The following is a 21702-nucleotide window of genomic DNA, read 5'->3' on the forward strand; positions in this document are numbered from 1 at the left end:
TCTCATTACTCAACTCTGGGTATCCTTCCTACCTTGAAGTCACACTGGATTATTCACCTTATCTTATATAATTCCAAGCCTTCACTATCTCCAGCCTTTGGTTATGCTCTACTCTCTAAAATGCCCTTTCCTAACCCATTCCGGTTTTCAAAGTTAAAGCAATTCTTCAAGGTTTTGTTTGTTTTGTGTTGGTTTTTGAGACAAGTTTGCCTAGGCTGGAGTACAATGGCGTGATCATGGCTCACTGCAGCCTCAACCTCCCAGGCTCAAGTGATACCCCTGCCTCAGCTTCCCAAGCAGTTTCCAAGGACTGTCACATTAATTATAGTCCAGGCCTTCAAGACTGTGAGGAGCAAGCAGTGCAACTGTCTAACACACTCACCAGTCATACAATAAATGCTCTGGTTCTTCTCTTGACAAAATGCCAAAAACCATTCGATTTTAGACAGAAGATCAAAACAAGAAGCCTCTTCATTTTGACCAAAAAAAAAAAAAGTCATCCTGGTTGCATAGATTCAAAATAATGTAAAATACTTGAAAAGATAAATTTTTATTGTCACTTTTTTTTTTTTGGAGATGGAGTCTCACTCTGTCACCCAGGCTGGAGTGTAAGGGTGTGATCTCAGCTCACTGCAACCTCCACCTTCCGGGTTCAAGTGATTCTCCTGTCTCAGCCTCCCAAGTAGCTGGGGCTACAGGTGCCCACTACCATGCCTGGCTAATTTTTGTATTTTTAGTAGAGATGGGGTTTCACCATGTTGGTCAGGCTGGTCTCAAACTCCTGACCTCAAGTGATCCACCTGCCTCCCAACATGCTGGGATTACAGGCATTAGCCTCTACGCCTGGCCTATTGTCACTTTTTGTTATGATGTGACTGTTTCATTAGATCATTCACAAAATATAATTAGAGCTAGTGATATCTACTATTTAAAAAATTTGATCCAACTGGACAATCTGATTTTCAGTTCACAGGCTATGTTCTTTTGTAATACTAAAGCAATGGCAGTAAACAATAGCATGGCTAAAAGCCAAAAATGTTTTTTAAAATTTACTTTTCTCAAGCTTATTTTGCAGTACTTTAAAATATGCCTATCCCAGAAAGCTATGAATCTATGAAGGTGAAAATGTGGGTAATGGCGTCTCATAAAAATTACATATTTACCCATTTAGTTTACATGGAATGAAGTTCAAGTTTCTTTGTTTCTGTGTGCAAACATGGGCTGTATTATACTAGTAGGAATCTTTGACAATCTATTGTTGAAAATTAAAAAACTAAAATTTGTGAGGGAAAAAATATAGTAAAAGGTGGTTTAAAATGCCATCAATATAAATTATTTTATATAGCTATAGAATTTTTGCAAGACTAGGATGAAAACATCTATAAAACAAAAATCAACAGTCAGCTACAGAAATAACTCTATCCTTTTTGTTGAGAACAGTATCTTGAAGCTAAAGCTGTATCATCCCAATAGCAAAATTTTATATCTTACTACATGCCTAAACTAAATGAAACCTTCCTACAAAAAATAGAGACAAAATACAAAACCTTCTATGGATGTTTCTCTGCAGTAAATATTTGACTTGGTATATACTCCTCAGTGGCTCCTTTACTTTGAATATGAAAATAGGACAAAAAGAAAAGACAGAAAGAGAGAGGGAGAAAGGGAAAGGAAAAGGGAGATGGGAAGAGGGAGGGAGAGAGGGGGGAGCACAGGAGGAAGGGAGGGAGAAGAAGAGAAGAGAAAAGGAAAAAGCATTGGTGAAGCATCTTAACGTATCTCATTTGATAATCTGAATGACTGAACTGTCATACTTTTAATATTTTACCTTCTCAAATTGAAATTTTAATCCAAAAAGGATTTTGCTGTAATTTAGAGTTGGCTATATAGACTTACTATAAAACTTCCATAACTTCATAACTGATAGATTAGGCCAGGGATGTCAATCTAAGTCTAAAAGAACCAAATTTAGAAACCTATGGGAACCATGCCTTAATTTGGAATATTGCCCCCATTTAGGGAAGATCCATATGGTACACTTGATGATTGAGAAAGGAGTCAAGCTTGCAGGATTAGGGAGCTGATTTATTTACATGGGAAGAAACAGTGTATTGTAAGTAAATTGTTTTAATTTAGAAAACTTTGTTGGTCATGTTTATTATGTTTTCGAATTTAATGTTTACATCCTCTTCCCTCCCTCTCCTGTCGAACTCATAAGCAGGGTCAGATGTCAGCTAGGAGCCACCTAGCTGAGTATGACCACTTCAAATATTTTAGGGAGCATTTCAAATGAACACGCTCTATGTCACTCGAATGAAAGAAAAACCAGCTTCCTCACTTCTCAAATAAAAACTCTAAGACTTCCTGGAAGATTTTTTTTAGTAAAAAAGCTATTCAAATAATACATTATAATAGACATGGGCTTTGTTCATCCAGGAAAAGTACTGGATTTGCTTTTGTTCTATGTTTAACTTGCATTTTTACTTTTACTTGTCATAATAGTAGCTGGTTTCTTTTGTCCTTTTTTTCGTCCTCTTTTTTTTACAGGGAAGGGATGTTACGGTGGATCTTGAAGAACAAATATAACCCAACCAGGGGAGAAAGAAGGTGAGAACATTCCAGATTCAGGGAATAGTCTTAAAAAGTCTGGAAATCAGGAAAAAAAATACTGTGTTCAACAATAGTGATTTATTTAGTTTGGCTGGAATATATAGGGAAAGAGAAAGTATAAGAGGGAAAGCTAAAAAGGTAGTTTAGAGAAGATTCAGAGAGAAAATATAGTCTACTCCGAAAAGAGTGAATTTTTATCTTTTACAGGATAGGTAACCACTGACGTTTTAAGCAAAAGAATAAAGTCTTAATTGTTTCTGAATGTCTACTATGGGGCAGGCACTGTGCTGGATACATGTGTTATCTGTTTAATCCACTTTAAACTTCTTTGAGGTGAGTATTGTTAGGCTCATTTTATTGATCCACAAATGCAGAAACAAGTGGAAAAAAGTATCTAACAACATATAACTAGTGAATGGCAGATCTAAGATTTGAACCTAGGTTTGTATCTTTCCAAAGACTCCCCATTATGTCATGATTCTTCATGGAAGGGAGATGATTTATTTGTGTTTTAAAAAGGGTAATTCTAGATTAACTATGAAAGACACTTGCAAAAGAAGACATAATTGAGGAAGGAAACCCAAATATGAGGCTGGTTTTGTAGCCCAGCAAATGAGAATCTGAGCCTGAAATAGGGCAGTAATCAAGGCAATGGGAAGGACAGGGCGAATAGGCAATACTTGGTGAGCAATTTGCTTCGACGAATAATTAATAGAGAGAATTTAGGATACATTTGAGGTGATTCGGCTGGGCTCCCAAAATTACAGCAATGTCCTCTGCTCTAACATACTGTCGATGAGGTCCTTCCATTACAAATGCTCATTAAACAATGTGGAAATAGAATGTGGTAGCACTGGAGGAAGATTAAGGCACACACTTTCAAGAGTTTCCACATGCAAAATAAATTATGCAGTATTTTCAGTAGACAATGGTTTATTCCAATTACCATGTATATGAAACATTCCACATGTTTTCTCTCAAAGCTCACTTTTAACTTGGACAAAAGCAGAGGCTTGCAAGACACAATCCAGGCTGAGAACAAAAAACAAGGATCAAGAAACTCAAAAGAATTGCAGCAAGTAATAGCTGTAAGGTCAAAGCACCTTTTACAGACAGGAAACAAAACCAAAATCTAGGATTCAGGCCAAGAGATGGGCAAAAAAAAAAAAAAAAAAAAAAAAACTGTCAAACACAAACAAAACCATCATGGTGACCCACAGCAGTAGACAGCGTGGAGGCCTGTGTTGAAATCAACAGTGGGGCAGGAATTCTCCCTCCTCCTGTGGAAAGTGGGTCTATTTGACTGATGGGATGATGGTAGTGCCCACTTCTTGTCAATAGAGAGAAAAATAGGACTGAAGACTTAAGGTAGCCAGTCACTCTTTCGGCACATTTTTCAGTTCAATCATCTTTGCCTTAACTCCTCAAAATGAGTGAAGATTTTTTTATCCTTTATTTTTACATAGAGAAAAGGAATCAGAATGATGTAAATTTCAGATATTATCCCATCCCCCTAAACTATGTACTGCTATTCTAGTCAAACCTAGAAAGTGAAAAATTCAGTAGGCTTGGTTTAAGTCAGTAAGATCAACACATTCTGCTCTGGTTTCATCTTTTATCCCCTGCCTTGTAACCCTCAGCATGAATTAGTGATAAAAACAGATTGTACTCGAAGTCTAGTGCTTTTTTCTTAAATCTGTCAGTTAATGAGACAAATGACCCACTATGAAGAAGTAATACGTAGAACATGTTCCCATAGGAAGAGCTAAATAAGATACTTCCTATAATGTTTCTTTGGCATAATTTTGACTAGATTGATTACAATTTATACTTTCTATGGGGGTAGTAAGAAGTGCTAAAGTAGTCTGGAAAAGAGTCTAATTATTAATTGATAAATTAACATATTTATCAGTAATGACACCTGCTATGTGCCATAAGCCTCACTAGGTGCTAGACCCACTGAAATGATAAATAATAAAGCAAAAATAAGTTCACTACGCTCTTGGGAAGAAGGAGGCAAATGGATTATAGTAAAATAGACTATAAGCATTATAAAAGAGGTATAAAGGAGAGACAAATAAGATTGTCTGATAGATGATCTGCCTAGGGGTTCTCTTCAGATCCCTAGGAAAAAGTCAAATGGGACTGGTGGCTCTTCCTCCCTATAGTGGGAGACACTTTGCATATCAGCACTGTATGCAACCTCCCTGGGCATCAAGTCACATCAAGTTTTTCTCCTCTTGCAAGCCCTCTCTCTGCTGTCACCAAATCAGCTGGGTGCTGTCTATTTGCTTCCAAAGATCCTATTTAAAAAAACAAGGGGAGGTACTGGGGAGCAGTGAGGGCAAGCTACACCTGCCTCCTCATGGGATGCTGTAAAGCTGAAGAACCATGAACATCCTGCCCCTTCTCCTTCTGCTCCTGTGGAATTCTTGGGGTTTATCTCAGCCTTCCCTTGACAAACAGGAAAAATGTGTTATGAGAGCTCAGAGGAGAGAGTAGTTTGTTCTGTCCTGAAGGAAGTTTATGGCTTCAGAGAAGTAAGAGGTACACAACACAGTGGATTGAATTCAAAGTATGCCAAATTATTTTGTGAACTTCTTGAACATTGGATGAATTGCATTCTCTGTAACTCACAAATAAATATAAACTCTGGTATTATTGGGGCCCAGAAGAGCTGGAATAAGTCAGTCCTACTAATTACTAATATTACTTTGCTCACATCCATATATTTCTACTTTAGCTATAGTTATTGTCCCAAAATTATTCTTTTTGTTTGTTTTAGGAGATGTGGTAGAGACTGTCTATCTGTTCACCAGTCTTAGGCCCTCTCCCTGGCACCAAGAAGACTACATTTCCCAGCCCTTGTTAAAGAAGATGGCAAATATAGAAACTTCTATGGATGTTTCTATACAGTTAATATTTGACTGGATATTTATTTTCCATTAGCCCTTTTACCTTAAATTTGCTACGTTATCTCAAATTGTAACTTGATATTTTACCTTGAATTATTAAAGCCATAAAACTGAGTTCTACTTGGTGAAATGTGAGCAGAAAGGATAGCCACCAGTTCTAGGCCTCGCAATAAGACATCCTAATTGTTCTCTCTTCTCCACCCTCTTCCTTCTAGAAGGAGCACTGCTGGAAGCAAAAGAACTTGACATTGCAAAGGCACATGAAGGAATTACCAAGAAGAGCCATGCATCTCACACTGGCATTTTTATGAGTGATCATAAAAGCCATTGAGATGTGGGAATTATTTGTTAGAGTCCCTAGGAAATTTTATCCTGATGAATACAAAGACACTGATATAAATTTAAATTTCTTTCAAAAAGAAATAGTTCCTTATTTCATCTCTAAAGAGATATGGATCCATCCTGGAAAAAAAAAAAAACAGGGCAATTTCTCCGTCACAATGCAGTCTTACTTAGTTCCCATATTAGACAGAGGTTATCTCTCTAACCCTGTGATGTTCTTTGAGATAGAGCTGACTGGAAGAGAAGATATAAGCTATAGATGAGAACAATATGTGAAAAGCTTATTTCAGGCACAGCTTGGGAGACGAAATGCCAAAAACAACAAGAAAAAGGGAGGTGAAGGCCAAGAAGCAGGAAAAGAATAAGTGATGGAAAATTTTACAATGGATAAAAAAACTTCGTGAAATCAATTTGGCCACGCAACATGTATTTTCCATTCATTTGCTTTGACTCAATTTAGGGCTACATCCCATACAGACATAAATGCTTTGAGGTTAAAATGGGCCAATCATCAAGTATTAGTCAGAATTCTAAGAAAATATAATGTACAGCTCTAAAAAGCATACCTGTGGTTACCTGGGATTCAGGCAGGAGGTGTGAATTTAGTACATACCAGAAAAAATAGACGCATGAACTCACAGAGCCAGTTTCCCTAAAGGACCACATAGCTACCTATGAAATAATTCATCCTATGAGGAGAAAGTTTTGTGATGCACAAATTTGACATACAAACAGTTGGACAGAGCTAGCAGAAATACTACTTTAATTATGGCTGATGCCTGACACTCATATTGTACTTTGATGAAGGTCCAGAGTCTGAGGGAGAGGAGAGAGCAATAAAATGTATGACAAACACTAAGAGGGCAAACTCCCTGAACATTCTGTGAAGCTTCCAGAACACATAGGAACAGTGTATCATTCAAGAGATGGTAAGACATTCTTCCCACATGGAGTTAGGATTCAACACTGATAGAACCAAGCCCACTGAATTGAAAATCAGATCAGTCTACAGCTAGAAAGAAGAATTGGAAGAGGTGTTTGCCTCATTAAATATCACCAACACCATTAGCAAACATTTACAGCAGCCTAATTCCTTATGGAAGAAGGGTGGTCTTGGATGGTCTCCCATGGAATAATGTCCTTCTTCCTACCCAGGTTCTCATTATTTGAGAAATAAAATTAAAAGATTGAGGTGGAAGCCAAAATATTACTGATACATGTAGGTCAAAGAACACAGCATTGGGAAAGGGTCAAAGGGGCTTGCTCATTTAATGTAGAATTAGACCAACTCACTATCCAGTGGCAGGTAATGTTAGACTGGGGCAGAGTTCCCATTTGAGGGGCTTCCCATGTGCAGAGGAAGAAAAGTAAAATCATGCTTCTTCCTAAGAAGAAGAAGGAGGCAGAGAGCCTGGCTGAGTGTGACAGGAAACTGGAATGGGGAATAGAAGAGAAAGATAATGAGTAATAGTTGTGGCCTCAAGATTAAACACAGTGGTGGTGTTGGTGAAGTACTTCATTCCACTGACCTCTCATAAGATTTCCCCAGAAAAAAAGTTCCTCCAGAACCCAACAACAGCTGTTTCCAGATGGATTTGAACTCGCTATATAAAGCAATAATATCTAGAAGATACAAAGAGTGGATGGTATTGTATACTGCAGTACACAATCTCCCTTTAGAACTGAGGTGCTCTACCTCCAAGCATCTGGGAATTTTGACTGCTAACATCTCACTGATTAGTTGTATTCCAGGAATTGCCTTTGGCTTGTGGACGCTGCCTTACCAGGTTTACATCTCCTCTTTGATAGCAGCCTGTAGTCAGTGAGTGGTCAGATCACAGTCCAAAGATCTAGCCCCCTTGTCTCAACTGGGTCAGTTCTGAAGAGCCATTCCAGTTCCAAAGCTTCTGCTAGAATCATTTGAGATCTCTGATGAATACATCATATATTTAAGATTTATTATGCATCTACTTCCAAAACATGAGTTTATCAGGTTATAAACTTAGCATATTATATAATAAAAGAGTTAATTAAATAAGGCAAAATAATCTAAAATGGAGATTTGTTCATTATTTATAAAAAGTATTTATTCAGGCTATTCTGCAAACAGGGCACTGGGTTAGGTGCTGTGATCAGTCAGCCACATATTCTGCAGTCAATATGACTACTGTTTGATCCAGAGATGGCATGTGCACAGCTAAGTATAGCATAAGAAGAGAAAAAGCCCATACGGTATTCACAACTGTAATAGATATCCTTTCTTTGATTCCAGAACAGCACTATTAGATAGAAAAAGGTGTTACTATTCCTGCTTTATAGACAGTAAATCAAGGTTGAGCAAGGTAAAGCAATTTACCCAACTAGCAGAAAATGTACTTTTTACCTTAAATCCATTGTTTATTTATTCCATTATGACAAATATTATTTGTTTGGATGATTTATTTGGAGTTGGGCTAAGGAGAAATATAACTGATGCTGATTTGAGGTAAGAGTGTTACCAGTTATCCAAATAGATGAGATAATATCTCAGTGAACATCGAAAAGCCTCTAAAGGACATGGGTTTTATACCAGCTAACCATTTTGAGAATTTGATTCATCTTGCTTGATATCCTTAATTATCTTTTCAAATGTTTTCAAAATATTCAATGTCCCTGGGTTATGCTGGATACAATTTGCTAAATGTATCTTTCAAGCTTCATAGATTAGAATGATGACTTAGTTATTTGCAGACTCACTCCCTAAGTATTTCCACAATTTTGAAACTGCGACTTCAGGGAAGGATGTCTGTTTAGTAGTAATCAACTCTAAAAATAAAGAGCACAGAATTCTCTTTCCAAAACATTGAATTGCAAAATTAGGCTTTTGACGAAGACCCTGCAGCGGCAGGTGAATCATCAAATGGAGAAGGTTTACTTGACTTCTCAAGAGAATTTTAAAAAGAGTATAAAAACAAAGTGGAAAAAAGAAAGAAAGAAAGAAAAAGAATGGCCGGAGGATTGTCTATTCTGGAGTTAGGCTAAGGAGAAATATAACTGATGCTGATTTGAGATAAGAGAGAATTACCAGAAAGTAGCTGACCAGTGGGACATTATTGACAGCGAGAAGAGATCCACTTCCCCTGGGTATCTGTGGATAGGCTAAGGATCAGTTCTGGGAGAATCAATGCAAAGAGGCAAAAGGGATGCTAAAATTACTGATGAGCAAGACAGAGACTGGGCCAGGATCATGGGAAATACCTAAAAGGGGAAAGTGATGAGCCGGGAAGTGCACGCTGCCACCGAGGAGCCATCTGAGATGTAAAATTGTAGAAACAGAGCACTTGAAGCATCCTTTTAACTTCTGGTCAGAGATTTGTGGCAAAGTTGTCAAATCCTAAAACTGCCTTATCTCAAAGGTGAGGGGAAACCTCTGGTTCCTGAAGTGACAGTGAGGGAAGGAGAAGGAATAGGAACTGAAACAGGGGAATCAAAAAAAGAAGACGAAGAACCAAAAAGGATTAAAGAATAAAGTCCAGCAAATGCCCCATCATGAAAAGTCAAAGGCAAGATGGACAAAATCAACCTGGTGAATGAAACAGCACATATGGACAACTGTTTTCCTTTTCTCTGCTTTTTTTCTATCTCTGTGTGTGCCTAGGCCACCTGGGCTTTATAAAACACGTGTGTGTGTGTGTGTGTGTGTGTGTGTGTGTGTGTGTGTGTGTGTGTATGTGTGTGTGTGTAACTTCATTTTTAGTCTGACATCTCACTAAACTCAATATACGGCTGGCAGCTGGAAACTAGATACGCACTCACCCAGCTTTAAGCTTGCAGACGATGCCAGTGCCCCAGAGGAGGGCAGAGCTGCCCTTCTAGCCTGGGTCCCTGGATGACCTTGGGAAGTAGAGGATGTCTACCTGTCCTATTACTGGCAGGAGATGTTTCACCATTGCCTTTGGAGTCTCTTTGCTACAACCTTTACTCTAGTTAACATGGTAACATATTTATTATTATTGTGTTTTCCCTGCATATTAGAAAACAAAACAACCTGTATCTCAGGGACTAATTGCAGAAAATAGCCACAAGGCAGAACATCATTTAATTAGAATACATGGCAGATGGTGATTTAAAATTTTTTCATTAAAACACTCAAGATGAGGCTGAAAATTTTCAGATAATAATAAAGCTGGTTGATTTCTTACATGCTATTAACTAAGGAAAACTTAAGAAAGAGATAGACAATAGGACCTATATTGATGACTGAGTTTTAAAAATCTATTACTACTCCAGCAAAAGCAACTCCAGAAAAGCATATAATTAATAGAATGTTTTAGCCTATGAGGCCGGGTGCAGTGGTTCATGCCTGTAATCCCAGCACTTTGGGAGGCCGAGGCAGGTGGAACAAGGTCAGGAGTTTGAGACCAGCCTGGCCGATATGGTAAAACCCCGTCTTTACTAAAAATACAAAAATTAGCCGGGCATAGTGGCACACACCTATAGTCCCAGCTACTCGGGAGGCTGCGGCAGGATATGGCTTGAATCTGGGAGGCAGAAGTAGCAGCGAGCCGAAATTGTGCCACTGCACTCCAGCCTGGGCAACAGAGTGAGACTCCAGCCCAAAAAAAATAATGTTTTAGCCTATGTTTGATAATCAGTTATTCTGGTGTGCATGACTGGTAGCTGTGACCATAGCCGGACAAACTTGAACAGCTAACACTAACTGAATTCTACTAAAATAATGTCCATTACAATTTGATAAGTTTAGAACAATATTTGCCAGTATTTTGCAGTGACTTGAGAAATAATAATGATAATCCTCCATATTACGTGGAAGGTCTGGTCTCCTTCTCCATATATCCTACTAAAAAGTATTAGATGGCTTACAGGATTCACAAGTGTTCCAAAAATAAGTTTCAGGTGAGCAAAAGTATTTAATCCCTCAGCCCCCAGGCCTGGTCAGGTTGGGCATGAGGTACCCCAAATCCCAGGGCTGGCCTATCACCCTTGACAGTATGCACCACAGTGATATGAACACATTTTATTTTTTTATTTCTTAATATGAACCATGATATGAAAAGGGTAGGAAGATACCGACTTAGAGTTTTCTAAACATGTCCCCCAAATTATTAAGCTTTTTTAAATAACTATTTTCATTTTCATACTTTATATCTCCACATCATCTATCATCCTCAGTAATATACAAGTGACCTTATGCCAAATGTTGTCTATTTTTGAAACAAACGAAAATACTAACTGAAAGTTATTCTTTTTCCCCCCTTGAAGTGGCCTCCTCAGCATTACTTTGATTTTCCTTCTTTTCTGCATGGGCCATAATGCAACAGAATAGATCATCCTTTTGACGAAAATTTAAAACTAAAAGCCTTTCACCACTCATTTCCCTTTCAGACAAGCTCACTGGGAACCACATAAAGGGAGATTTTTGCGTGACTCCTCCTATGGTCAGAATTCAGCCCCTTTCTTTTACAGTCTTCTTATGGTTCAAGAGTTTTTTCTAGGAGCTGTGGTTTCTGTTTCTCTCATTTGGGCATTTGTTTATCCAGTTTCTGAGGTAGGATGATGTTGTATTTCTGCTAGGCTCTTTTCCAAAGATGAATCTCCTTGGCCTGGGTTACTTTCTTTTCCCATTTATTAAAATGAACTCACGCCTCAGCCTCTAGAACGTAATTATGACAGAAACAGTTTCTAATTACAGCAGTTCACATTTATTCCAGGACGATGCCTGACTTTAACAACTTTGTTTACTCACATAAAGCAAAAGCTAAATCCTTGCTTTTAGTTGTATCATTAAAAAAATGTCACTGGTAAAATGAAGCATCTTCCTTTAATGCTCTGAAGTCTAAATTGAGAACATTTACAAAAGCCTCTGAGGGCTCCTGACCATAGGAAGGACATTACTCAGTCAACAAGGACCTATTAAATATCTGTTCTACACCAATAGTGTCTGAGAGGAAATATGAGGCAGGAAAGCATTATAAATGGGCTTTCTGCCTAACTAAGTGATTTCTCATCCACTCTAGGAGAGGGAAACAAAAAGCCACACTATTGTATTCCACTATCTGGAATCCTAGAATGTCATATCTAGAAAGGAGATCAGAAGTTGTCTAACCTACTCTTCCCATTTGTAGATTATGAAGCCCCAGTGCAAAGAGATTAAATGGTTTATTCTAGGACACCCTAGTAATAAAGTCACAAAGGTAAAATTAAAAATGAGTAGACAGAGCACAGGAGCCTGACTCAGATGCAAAAGTTTCGTAACCTGTCCCATGCTGTCTCCCTGACTCTCTTGGTCCATTTATGTAACTGTAACAGAGTAGCTGAGACTGGGTAATTTATAATGAACAGAAATTTATTTCTTACCAGTCTGGAGGCTGGGAAGTCCAAGATCATGATGTAAGCATCTGATGAGGGCTTTCGTCCTGCATCATCCCATGGCAGAAGGCAGAAAGGCCAAGAGAGGGCAAGGACAAGGGAGACAGAAAATAAAGAAGGGTCAAACTCCCCCTTTTATAACAAACCTACTTTTGCAATATCTATATTAATTCATTCACTCAGCTCTTATGGCCTAATTACCTCTCATTAGGCCCCACTTCCCAAAACAGTTGCTTTGGGGATTAAGTTTCCAACACATGATTTTGGGAAGACACATTCAAATCATAACACTGACTAAAACTAGTACAGAAAATTGTAACATGGTAACTATTTCAGTAATACTTTGGAAATACAATGCTCTAGTAATATTTCAGTAATGCAATGCAGCAGACCGTTGCCTGTTTTCATTAACTACACTAGAACAGAACAGTTTACTGTGTTCAGAATTACACATCCATAGCAAAGCTATGACCTACAAACGTTCTCAAGGTGAACGTGTCAATAACACTATATGAATTTTTGAACAATAACTAACAGAGCCTCACTGTGTATCTAGCTAGTGAGTCTTCTGCATACCAGCATCAGGTAAATTGCTTTATTCCAACTCCTCGTTAACAGTCACTAATAGCCGATACACTGATATACCACTTAGATATTTCCAATTATCTCATAGTCTATCTGTGTAATTTGATGAGCTATTATCCTCAAAGCTAGAAAAAAAGTGAAACTCTACTAGACATTTCTGAGAAAATTGCTGCCAGTAATTTGAATGTGTTGCATCGACTAAGTGAATTGAGCAAAATTTATCTTCCCTTTTACTTTTCCCTCATCTTTATTCTGCTTTTCTATCATTTCTCACCTTTCTCTCTACCTGCCCTTACCCTTAATCAATATCTACTTTGATTCATTAGAAAAGCATTATTCATTTCCACAGCATTAAATTGTCCACCTTCAGAGCATTTAATCATTACCTGTTTTTCAAAATGACTTGTGTGACCTACACCTAAACACTGCAGTGAAAAATGGTCTAGATCTTCTTTTGTGCCCCCACTCTCCCCAAACACAGGCTTATCACAGCACTGCTAACATATATTTGTATAATTTATTTAAATGATACTGCAATGGACTGTAATATCTTTGAAGGGAAAATGTCATATTCATTTTTGCATCTCAACTCCCTATCATTCCTGGCAAATATGCGTGTTTGCAAAATGAATGATAATATCACTCAATTCATCAATAACCTTTAACAACAGTGTTTACTATAATATTTGGGTTGGAAATGTGAAAGGAAGACAAAAACTGAACAGTTCCTGTGGGTAGCTAAAACAGAGGAGAAAGGGAAAAAACATTCTCCTTTGGTTCAGTAGCAGTTTTCCATGGAATAGAAAACATTGCAATCTTTACTCAGGTATTATATGTTTTTCTGGATGAAAGTCTTATTTTGGGTTGCATTATTTTCATCATTTGCAATAAATGTATGCCCTTTTAATGAGACTTTGTGTTTAATCTTATTGTTCTCTTACCATAATTATCGTATATCCGATAGAAAGAGTTTTTCCTCAGAGCAGATTAGAATCACAGGGGACAGAAAGAATATGGGTGGAAAAGAGAAGACGTTCTGCATAAGAAAGGGTACAAAGTTGCTATAGCAGTTCTTGAAAGAAACTGATAGCTACAAATTGAGAAAAGAAAGAAAGAATAAAGGAGAGAAAGGGGCCAGAAAACTCAATAGGGGTAGGGAGCAGGAGGGGTAGGGAGGAGGAGGAGGTAGGGAGCAGGAGGGGTAGGGAGGAGTAGGGGTTAGGGAGGAGGAGGGGTGGGGAGGAGGAGGAGGTAGGGAGGAGGAGGGGTAGGGAGGAGGAGGGAGGAGGTGGTGCAGCGATGGGGCATGTGCATGTCTATTGCTTCGTTTGAGGTTATTTGTCTTGTTATACTGTAAAGCTCTCCATTTCATCCAATTTCCAACACACATACACATAGTTGGGTATATTTCCCTTCATAACATCTATTTATTTATCTAAGAAATGTTTTGTGCGGATGGAGACACATTTTTTAATTGTTGCTAATTAAGTGAGGAGGAGACTAAGCTTGTCTATGTCAAGGTTTTAACGATTAAGCAAAGCTTCTAACGAAACAGGAAAAAGAAACTTAAGAAGCAGTGGAAACCATGAAATATAAGCTCTCCAGCTCTCCCTCCTCCCAGAATTCACAGAACACTAGGTATGGTTTTTTATTTACACAGGCTATGAATTGAAGTTTCAGGGTTATTTTTACCTAGGATGTAAGCGAGAAGAAAGCCTCAAGAGAAATGAATTACACATAGTTCCTAAGAACAAATTCTCTAATATGAACTGAAATACAATTATTAAAAGATGGTTCCAGAGAAACATATAGATCGATGCATAGAAATTTTACTAAACTGAACTCAGAACTCTCCTTGACTTTAGATATCCAATCTGTGTTTTCCTTACTTTTAAAGACACTTAGAAAATGTATCTAAGAAAAGTTGAAGATGTTTCTGGTTGTTTACAAGAAACTGTTTCAAGTGATGAATGACAGAGGCTAGACTTCAATCCCATTTGCGACAAGAACATTTGTTCTCTTTCTTCAGTGAGTGATTGTGAAGTGGCAGAAAGAAGTGGGAATTAAATCTCAACAAAAGTGGCTTTCTCAATTGTGTCTTATGAAGTATAGATTTCCTAGAAGTGGTTTTCATAATAGAACACAATTTTTGACTTCATGGAAATCAAAGCATCACTTTAAATCTCTCAGAACTCTATGATTCCTGTTGGATATTTCAGACCCTCAAAATTTAATCTGGAAGTTAAACATAACAATTCATAAAAGAAGTCCTTTATTGTCTGCCAAAAAAAAATTTTAACTGTCAATTTTATTATTTTAGAAACCTTCTTCATATTATAAGTGGTGATCATGGTGGCTAGTTTTAGGTGTAAGCTTAGCTAGACTATGGCACAGAGTTACCCAGCCAAACAGGAATCTAGGCATTGTTTTAAAAAGGTACTTTGTAGATGTGGCTAACATCTACAATCAGTTTAAATAAAGGAGATCATCCTCAATAATGTGGGTGAGGCTTACTCATCCAATCAGTTGAAAGTCCTTAACAGCAAAATTGAGGTTACCCTCAGGAAGAAGAAATTCAGGCTGAAGACTGCAGCATCAGCTTCTGCCTGAGAGTTTACAGTGTGCTTGCTTGCCCTACAGATTCGGACTTGCAAACCCCCACAATCACAGGAGCTAATTCCTTGAATATATTTATTTCATAAATAAATATATATGTAATCATACATATATAATCATATATTTTATATAATGTTTGTGTCCTACTAGTTCTGCTTGTCTGGAGAGCTCTGACTGATACAGTGGACAAATGCTATTGACAATAGGCTTGCATAATACTAACAAGAACAGACGTGAGAGAGATGGTTATCCTAGCAAAATAATGTAATCGTTAAGTTTTTTAGATAACAGACACATAAAAATATATTCTTGAGCTGAGAAAAATAAAAGCCAATTAAAACACGAAGTCAAGCAATATGAAAAGATGCTAAAGATAATTTGATTACTACCCAGCCTACATCTTAGGATTGTATGGAACAATAATCATCTTGGAGAAAAATATGCTACTTCATTTAGTATTAAAATACATGTCTTCCTTCCCCCCCTAAATTATAATCTCCTAGAAGGCAAAGAACACGTCTTCATTTTAGAATGCCTTACTCACAGTAAGTACACAATAAATGGTTGCTGGATTTAAAAAATGAATAAATTTGTATCCTGAGTATTAGTTACTCAACACCTATTGACTAAATGCCTCCTATGTTCCAGCACTGTGCTAAGTTTTGGGAGCACAGTGGTACACACATTAAGTCCTCCCCTCATGGAATTGTGCTGTGGCTTACCTGACCTGGTGACTGACACAGGTGCCTAGGGATGGTATTGCCCAAGTATCATTAAAAGGCTGCTGCCTTTAGCAGTTCTCTGCAAATCTGATATGCTAAGTTCAAACAGAAAATGGGTAAAGGGTGATGAAGTGATCTTTTCTTAATCAAGGCTACTGCAGAGTCCAGTGATGAGAATCAGGCAGAGCATCTCTTTTACGTATAGGTAATATAACTGCAACAATAAATAACACATTTATAGAAAAGTGAAAAAAGAGGAAAAAAAGATTATCCTGATTTATGTCAAACTCAGAAATTAGCAGTTTATTTCCCAGAACATTTAGTTTGCTTTCTTAACTATTATCTACTTAAACCATTTTGTAGAGACAATATGGAGATAAGGACATGGCCAGAGTTGTCAGACAGACCCAAGCCTAAAGCCTAGCATCACCACCAGCTATGTGACTTTGGACTAGTTGCTTCACATATCTGAACCTCAGTGTTCCCAAATATAAAATGAGAACAATAACTGACTGCCAGCCTGCGTGTGTATGTGTGTGTGATAGTGTGACAAATAAAGTACTGTGAGTAAACCTAGCAGCTCAATGCCTAGCATTTGGAAAGTTAACAATAAATGGTAATTAGATTTGATACAGTACTTCACATTTTAAAGCTACACAACCTCTGGGATGACAATTCCATTAGCAAAGTTACTGGTTCAAAGGCACTTCCCTTCTTGTGACTTTCAGAACGTGCTCAAACCATTAGTTTTTCCAAGAGAAAATCTCCAGTATGTTATGGAAACACTATAAAGAGGAATTTCCAGGAAAAATAAATAAATATAGGTACCATTAATAGATGTATATAGACTCATAAGAACCATAGACTGTTAGACCAGGAGGAAATACTGAAGATCATTTAGGTCTCATTTTATAAAATTTAGAAAAGCAAAATAACCTCTTCAAGGGCCCTAAGTAGTTAATGGTAATGTGAAGACAACCCATCAGTTTTAGAGATAGACCATAATCTACTACCTATAATTTGTCTCCATACTTTAGGATTATTATTTTCAAAGGGGTAAATGCAATTCCCAAAACAATAGCTAATTCTTAAGTTGTCTCTGTAAAAATTACAAAGACAATCCTTTTTCCTCTATGATAACTCATACTATTCACAGCCATCTGTGTACTCTGACTTTCAGAAACAGTTTCTCTCTCCAGGATGCTGCTCACTACATGAGAGGCACAGGGGATTGTAAGCGAGTGGCCAGTCCGTTTGTGGTTTACCATGTGCCAGATTCTGCCTATGCTTTCTCATTTAATCCTCACCCACAACCCTTTAAAATGCATGCTTTTATTTTCAATATTGTCCATATGGGTTAATTAAGGCTTATCGAGGTTAGGTAATTTGTTCAGGTTCACACTGCTACCAAGTAGGAAAGCAAGATTTAAAGCTATTCTGTCTGACTCCAGAGGCCACGGAGATATTGAGAGTTTCTTGACACCACAGATTGCTAAATTCTTCCCTTATATCTTATATTCTGATGTCCAGGCTTCCCTGCCTAATCCATGAAAAATTATGCTGAATGCAAGACTTGGTTCTCTAGCTGGTTGATTGGAAATTATAGTCACATAAACCAAAAGAAGAAACCAGCCCAGAGTTTTGTGGTGATACAGCTGAGTAGCGGGTATGGATCACCCCTGGGCCTTGTGCTCCTGCAGATGGATGAATCAGGAGTGCAGCCTCTCTGGGGTGTAAACAGAACCACCCAACAGGAGGGCCCAATGTCCTGTGGGACCTGAACGGAATAAAAATGTTCAAATCTGTAAGGAAATGGCATTGCCCAAGTACCTTCAAACTGCCTTTAGCAGTTCTCTGCAAATTTCGTATGCTAAGTTCCAACAGAAAATAGGCAGATGTGTGATGAAGTGATCTTTTCTTACTGAAGGCTACTGCAGAGCATAATGATGAGAGTCAGGCAGAGCATCTCTCTTATACATAGGTAACATCAATGCAACAATAAATAACACTTATATAGAGCTGTTCATTTGAAAAGGGGTACAGAAATTGAAATCAGAAATTCGCTTCCACCTCACATTAGCCATATAACCTTGGGCTTCACAGTGACTCTGGATGAACTTTTGTGTCTTTTTATATGATGGAACTGGTTTCATTTACTTTTATTTATGGATTATTCTGTTATGTCTACCAAATAAGAATGTTTGGGACATGGATGGGAAAGATATAAAATGCAATGCAAATATCTGATATTGTTACTAATAACTAGCAGAATTTGAAAATAAGGTTTTATTACATTTTTAAATGAATGTTCATAGACAATTTATTGAGATTGATACAAACCACTCAAGATCATTGCTGTCACTCAGTATTAAAGGAAAGCCCTCCTGTCCAGAGCCCATCACCCACCTCTAAGTGGTAGAATGTGGAGAAACTTTTAGACGTGATCCTTCCAAGCCCTGTGATTATACACCTTGGAAAATAAAAGTTGCTCAAACCCACATAGCTTACCCAAAACAAAAGGAAACTAGAGTTCATTTCTCTGGGGGTGCAGTCTGGTGCTTTTAAGGTTTTTACCTCTTTTCTATATTTTGATTATTAAAATATAATTTTTGTTTAAAATAATCTAAAAGAAATTTTCATGATTTTTTCCAGTGGTGTATAATGGACCAGACAGCATTTTGAAAGCATCACAGGATGATCCAGATGAAAAGATAACTAACCATCAGAGCAGCTTTGAGAGGTAAGATCACAAATCAGCACCCAAAAATGACAATCATTAATTTTGTCACTAAATGACATAACGATAAACAGTATGACTCTTTCCTTTTTTTCTGTGGTTATTCAAGAGGTAAGAAGGGGATCCCACCCTTAGTAAACTTCTGGGAAAAAAAAGAGACATAATGATGCATTTTTTCCCTCAAGTTTATTTATAATCCAAAGATGGTAATAAGCTTCTTAAGGGTGTTAATCACCCATGTTTCCTTCTTAAACACTCTTATTTTTACTTCCACCCACAGGAAAAAAAAAACTTTTTATAAATAAGATTAGTCACTGAATAAAAGGAGGTAACTAAGGCTAGTGATTGCTTAATTATTTCATGTGTTAAGAAACTTTAAATTACTCCAAGAGATTAAAAATTCATAACTGAACATTTTATGGTTGTAGACAAATTTTGGAGTTGGAAAATACCTAAAGAGAGTCTCTCCTTCAATCTTTCACCTGAAGAAAATATAATCTCTATGAAATTCTACACAAAAAGCCATCTGGCAGCTACTAGAAAATATCTAGTAACAAGACTCTCCTTAATGGGACATGGGGACTAGCAGTTGGGAAGCTCATTTCATTTACGTACTGGGTATATATTTATGTAAAATAATAATTACTTAGAAATCTGACCCTCTATAACTTCTACCACTTGGTTGCGTTGCTGTATGCACCCACAGTATCCCACATAACTTCCTTCTCAGCATTTGTCTGTCTTTTTAAGTATTATTATCTCACCCTTCAACTCAGAGAATGCACCTGTCTTGTTCCTCCCTCTTTCTCCAGCACCTAACATACTGCCTAGCAATCAATGCTTAATAAATATTTCTTGATTCAGTGCATAACAGTTTAAGTAAATTTCCTAGAGATTTGCAGAATAAATCAAAGCATTTTTTCACATGACACCCTTTTTATGTTATATGATATTTAACAGATCTCTTTTCCAGAATCAAAAACCCCATATTTTGTGGCCACTTGTGACCTGACTGGTCCCAGAGCCTGCTCTGATGAAGTCATTGTCTCCAGAATATGACTTAGTCAAAATCCCCTTCAAGGTGTTACAAAGATTGAGAACAGAGGACTCCAGCAGAATACAGTGAAACTGTTATCTCCTGTAATTCCATCTCACTGCCAACAAATGCTGTTTATGCTTGTATCTCTTTCCTATTTAATCACATAATATTGTTTGGACTATATTGCATTAAGGTCCTATTCACTTTCACGTGAGTTTATTTGAAGGATGCTCTCCTCATTGTTTGAAACTAAATATAAGATTTGAACTTCTTCTTGCTAACTTTTTCAGTTTATATTTCATATTAATAAGAACAGTGTTTATTCTTGATACTCTCATTTCACTCTCAAGATGCCCCTACCCTCCCACACATTAACCACAATGTTAGTGTCATACACACCCTGGAAAGGACTAGAATTGAAGGAAGTGATCATGCTGATAATACAGAACCAGAGTTTTTAAAATTTACCTGAAATTTTAGAGAAAATAGTCCCTATGTCCAGCATGAATGTGAGCACAGTTCTATGTATAGCAGCCTCAAGGTAATGACACAGACATGAATCATCTGACACAAATCAACACAAGTGGCAACTTCTGATAGTTTTGAAAAGTTAAAGCTTTTTTACAGATGATAGCCAAGTAAAGAGTTTTTTCAAATCTAAGCTATTTTTCCATTAAATCTGCATTACCTTTTTAATACCCACTTTTGTTCTAGATAGCCCAATAAGAATTCCCGATTAAAGCCAAAAACTTTCACTAACTCCTGTTCTCATTGCCTTTATCCAGTCTATTATTAAATCCTGTCGTGTCATTCTACAAAGTGTTGTAAGATTCTTCTTTATATTCTTGGCTTAATTTATTTAATAAACACTAATTAAGATCTTACCATGCATTTGTTATAGGGGTACAACAAATCTATTTATACCCCCATCTCATTCCAGAAGGTAATGTAAGTGAATTATAAGGTTACAAAAAAAAGAAATGGAAGGAAGGAAGGAAGAAAGGAATACAAATAGGAGCAACTGGCAAATGGGAGAAAAATAAGACAAAAGCCTAAAATGGACTCAAGAATGAGGTTTAAAATCCAACGCATGAAGATCTATAAATTTCCTTCAGCCGAAGCAAAGTTAACTTTACATTTTCAGACAGTCAAGGCAAAATGGAAAAACCTGATTAATTTCAAAATCAAAAGTGTTTCTAACATAAAACATAGAATTGCTCAGAAGTACCATTCTCCTTAGTCCAAAATGCAAAAAAAATGTTTTCCTTCAAAGGGTTTGTATAAAAACAATATCTTCCCTCTTAAAAAAAATTGATACCCTGAGTTTCTAACTACTCTCCTATTTATTTCTCCTTGCACGCAGACACTCTCTTGAAAACAATAGTCTACCCTTGCTGATTTCATTTACTCACTTCGTATTCATTTTTCAACTCACGGCATTGAAAGTCTCATCCTTATATCTTCTCTGAAACTGCCTGGCAAATGAAGTTAAGTGCTCCATAATTTCACACTAATATTTGCTACAAAATACTCTCATCTACTTCATGTATATCTGGTTTCTCTCTTTTTCAAGCTATCTTGCATGTTATAAGCCAGAACCATTTGCATTAAGAACTGACCTAATGTGGTTGCTCTTCTGCTCAAGGACCTACTGAATAGCAACCACATCAAGCCTGAACACTTTCTTCCACTTTCTAAGGTTTTCATGTTCAACTCCCCACCATAATCTAACATATACTCTCAAGTTAAATCATGAGGAGTGGCACG

General features: G+C 37.2%; 1 long non-coding RNA gene across 1 annotated transcript in view; it reads right to left on the reverse strand.

Moving 5' to 3' along the window:
- The window catches only part of LOC105371664 (uncharacterized), a 115921-nt gene that overhangs the window by 68262 nt on the left and 25957 nt on the right, over positions 1–21702 (reverse strand). The window contains exon 3 of the long non-coding RNA XR_002958418.2: positions 12225–12283. This is a non-coding gene — a long non-coding RNA (uncharacterized LOC105371664). The remainder of the gene's footprint in view (positions 1–12224; positions 12284–21702) is intronic.

This window comes from Homo sapiens, chromosome 1 (assembly GCF_000001405.40).
Source record: "Homo sapiens chromosome 1, GRCh38.p14 Primary Assembly".
Taxonomy (NCBI): Eukaryota; Metazoa; Chordata; class Mammalia; order Primates; family Hominidae; genus Homo; species Homo sapiens.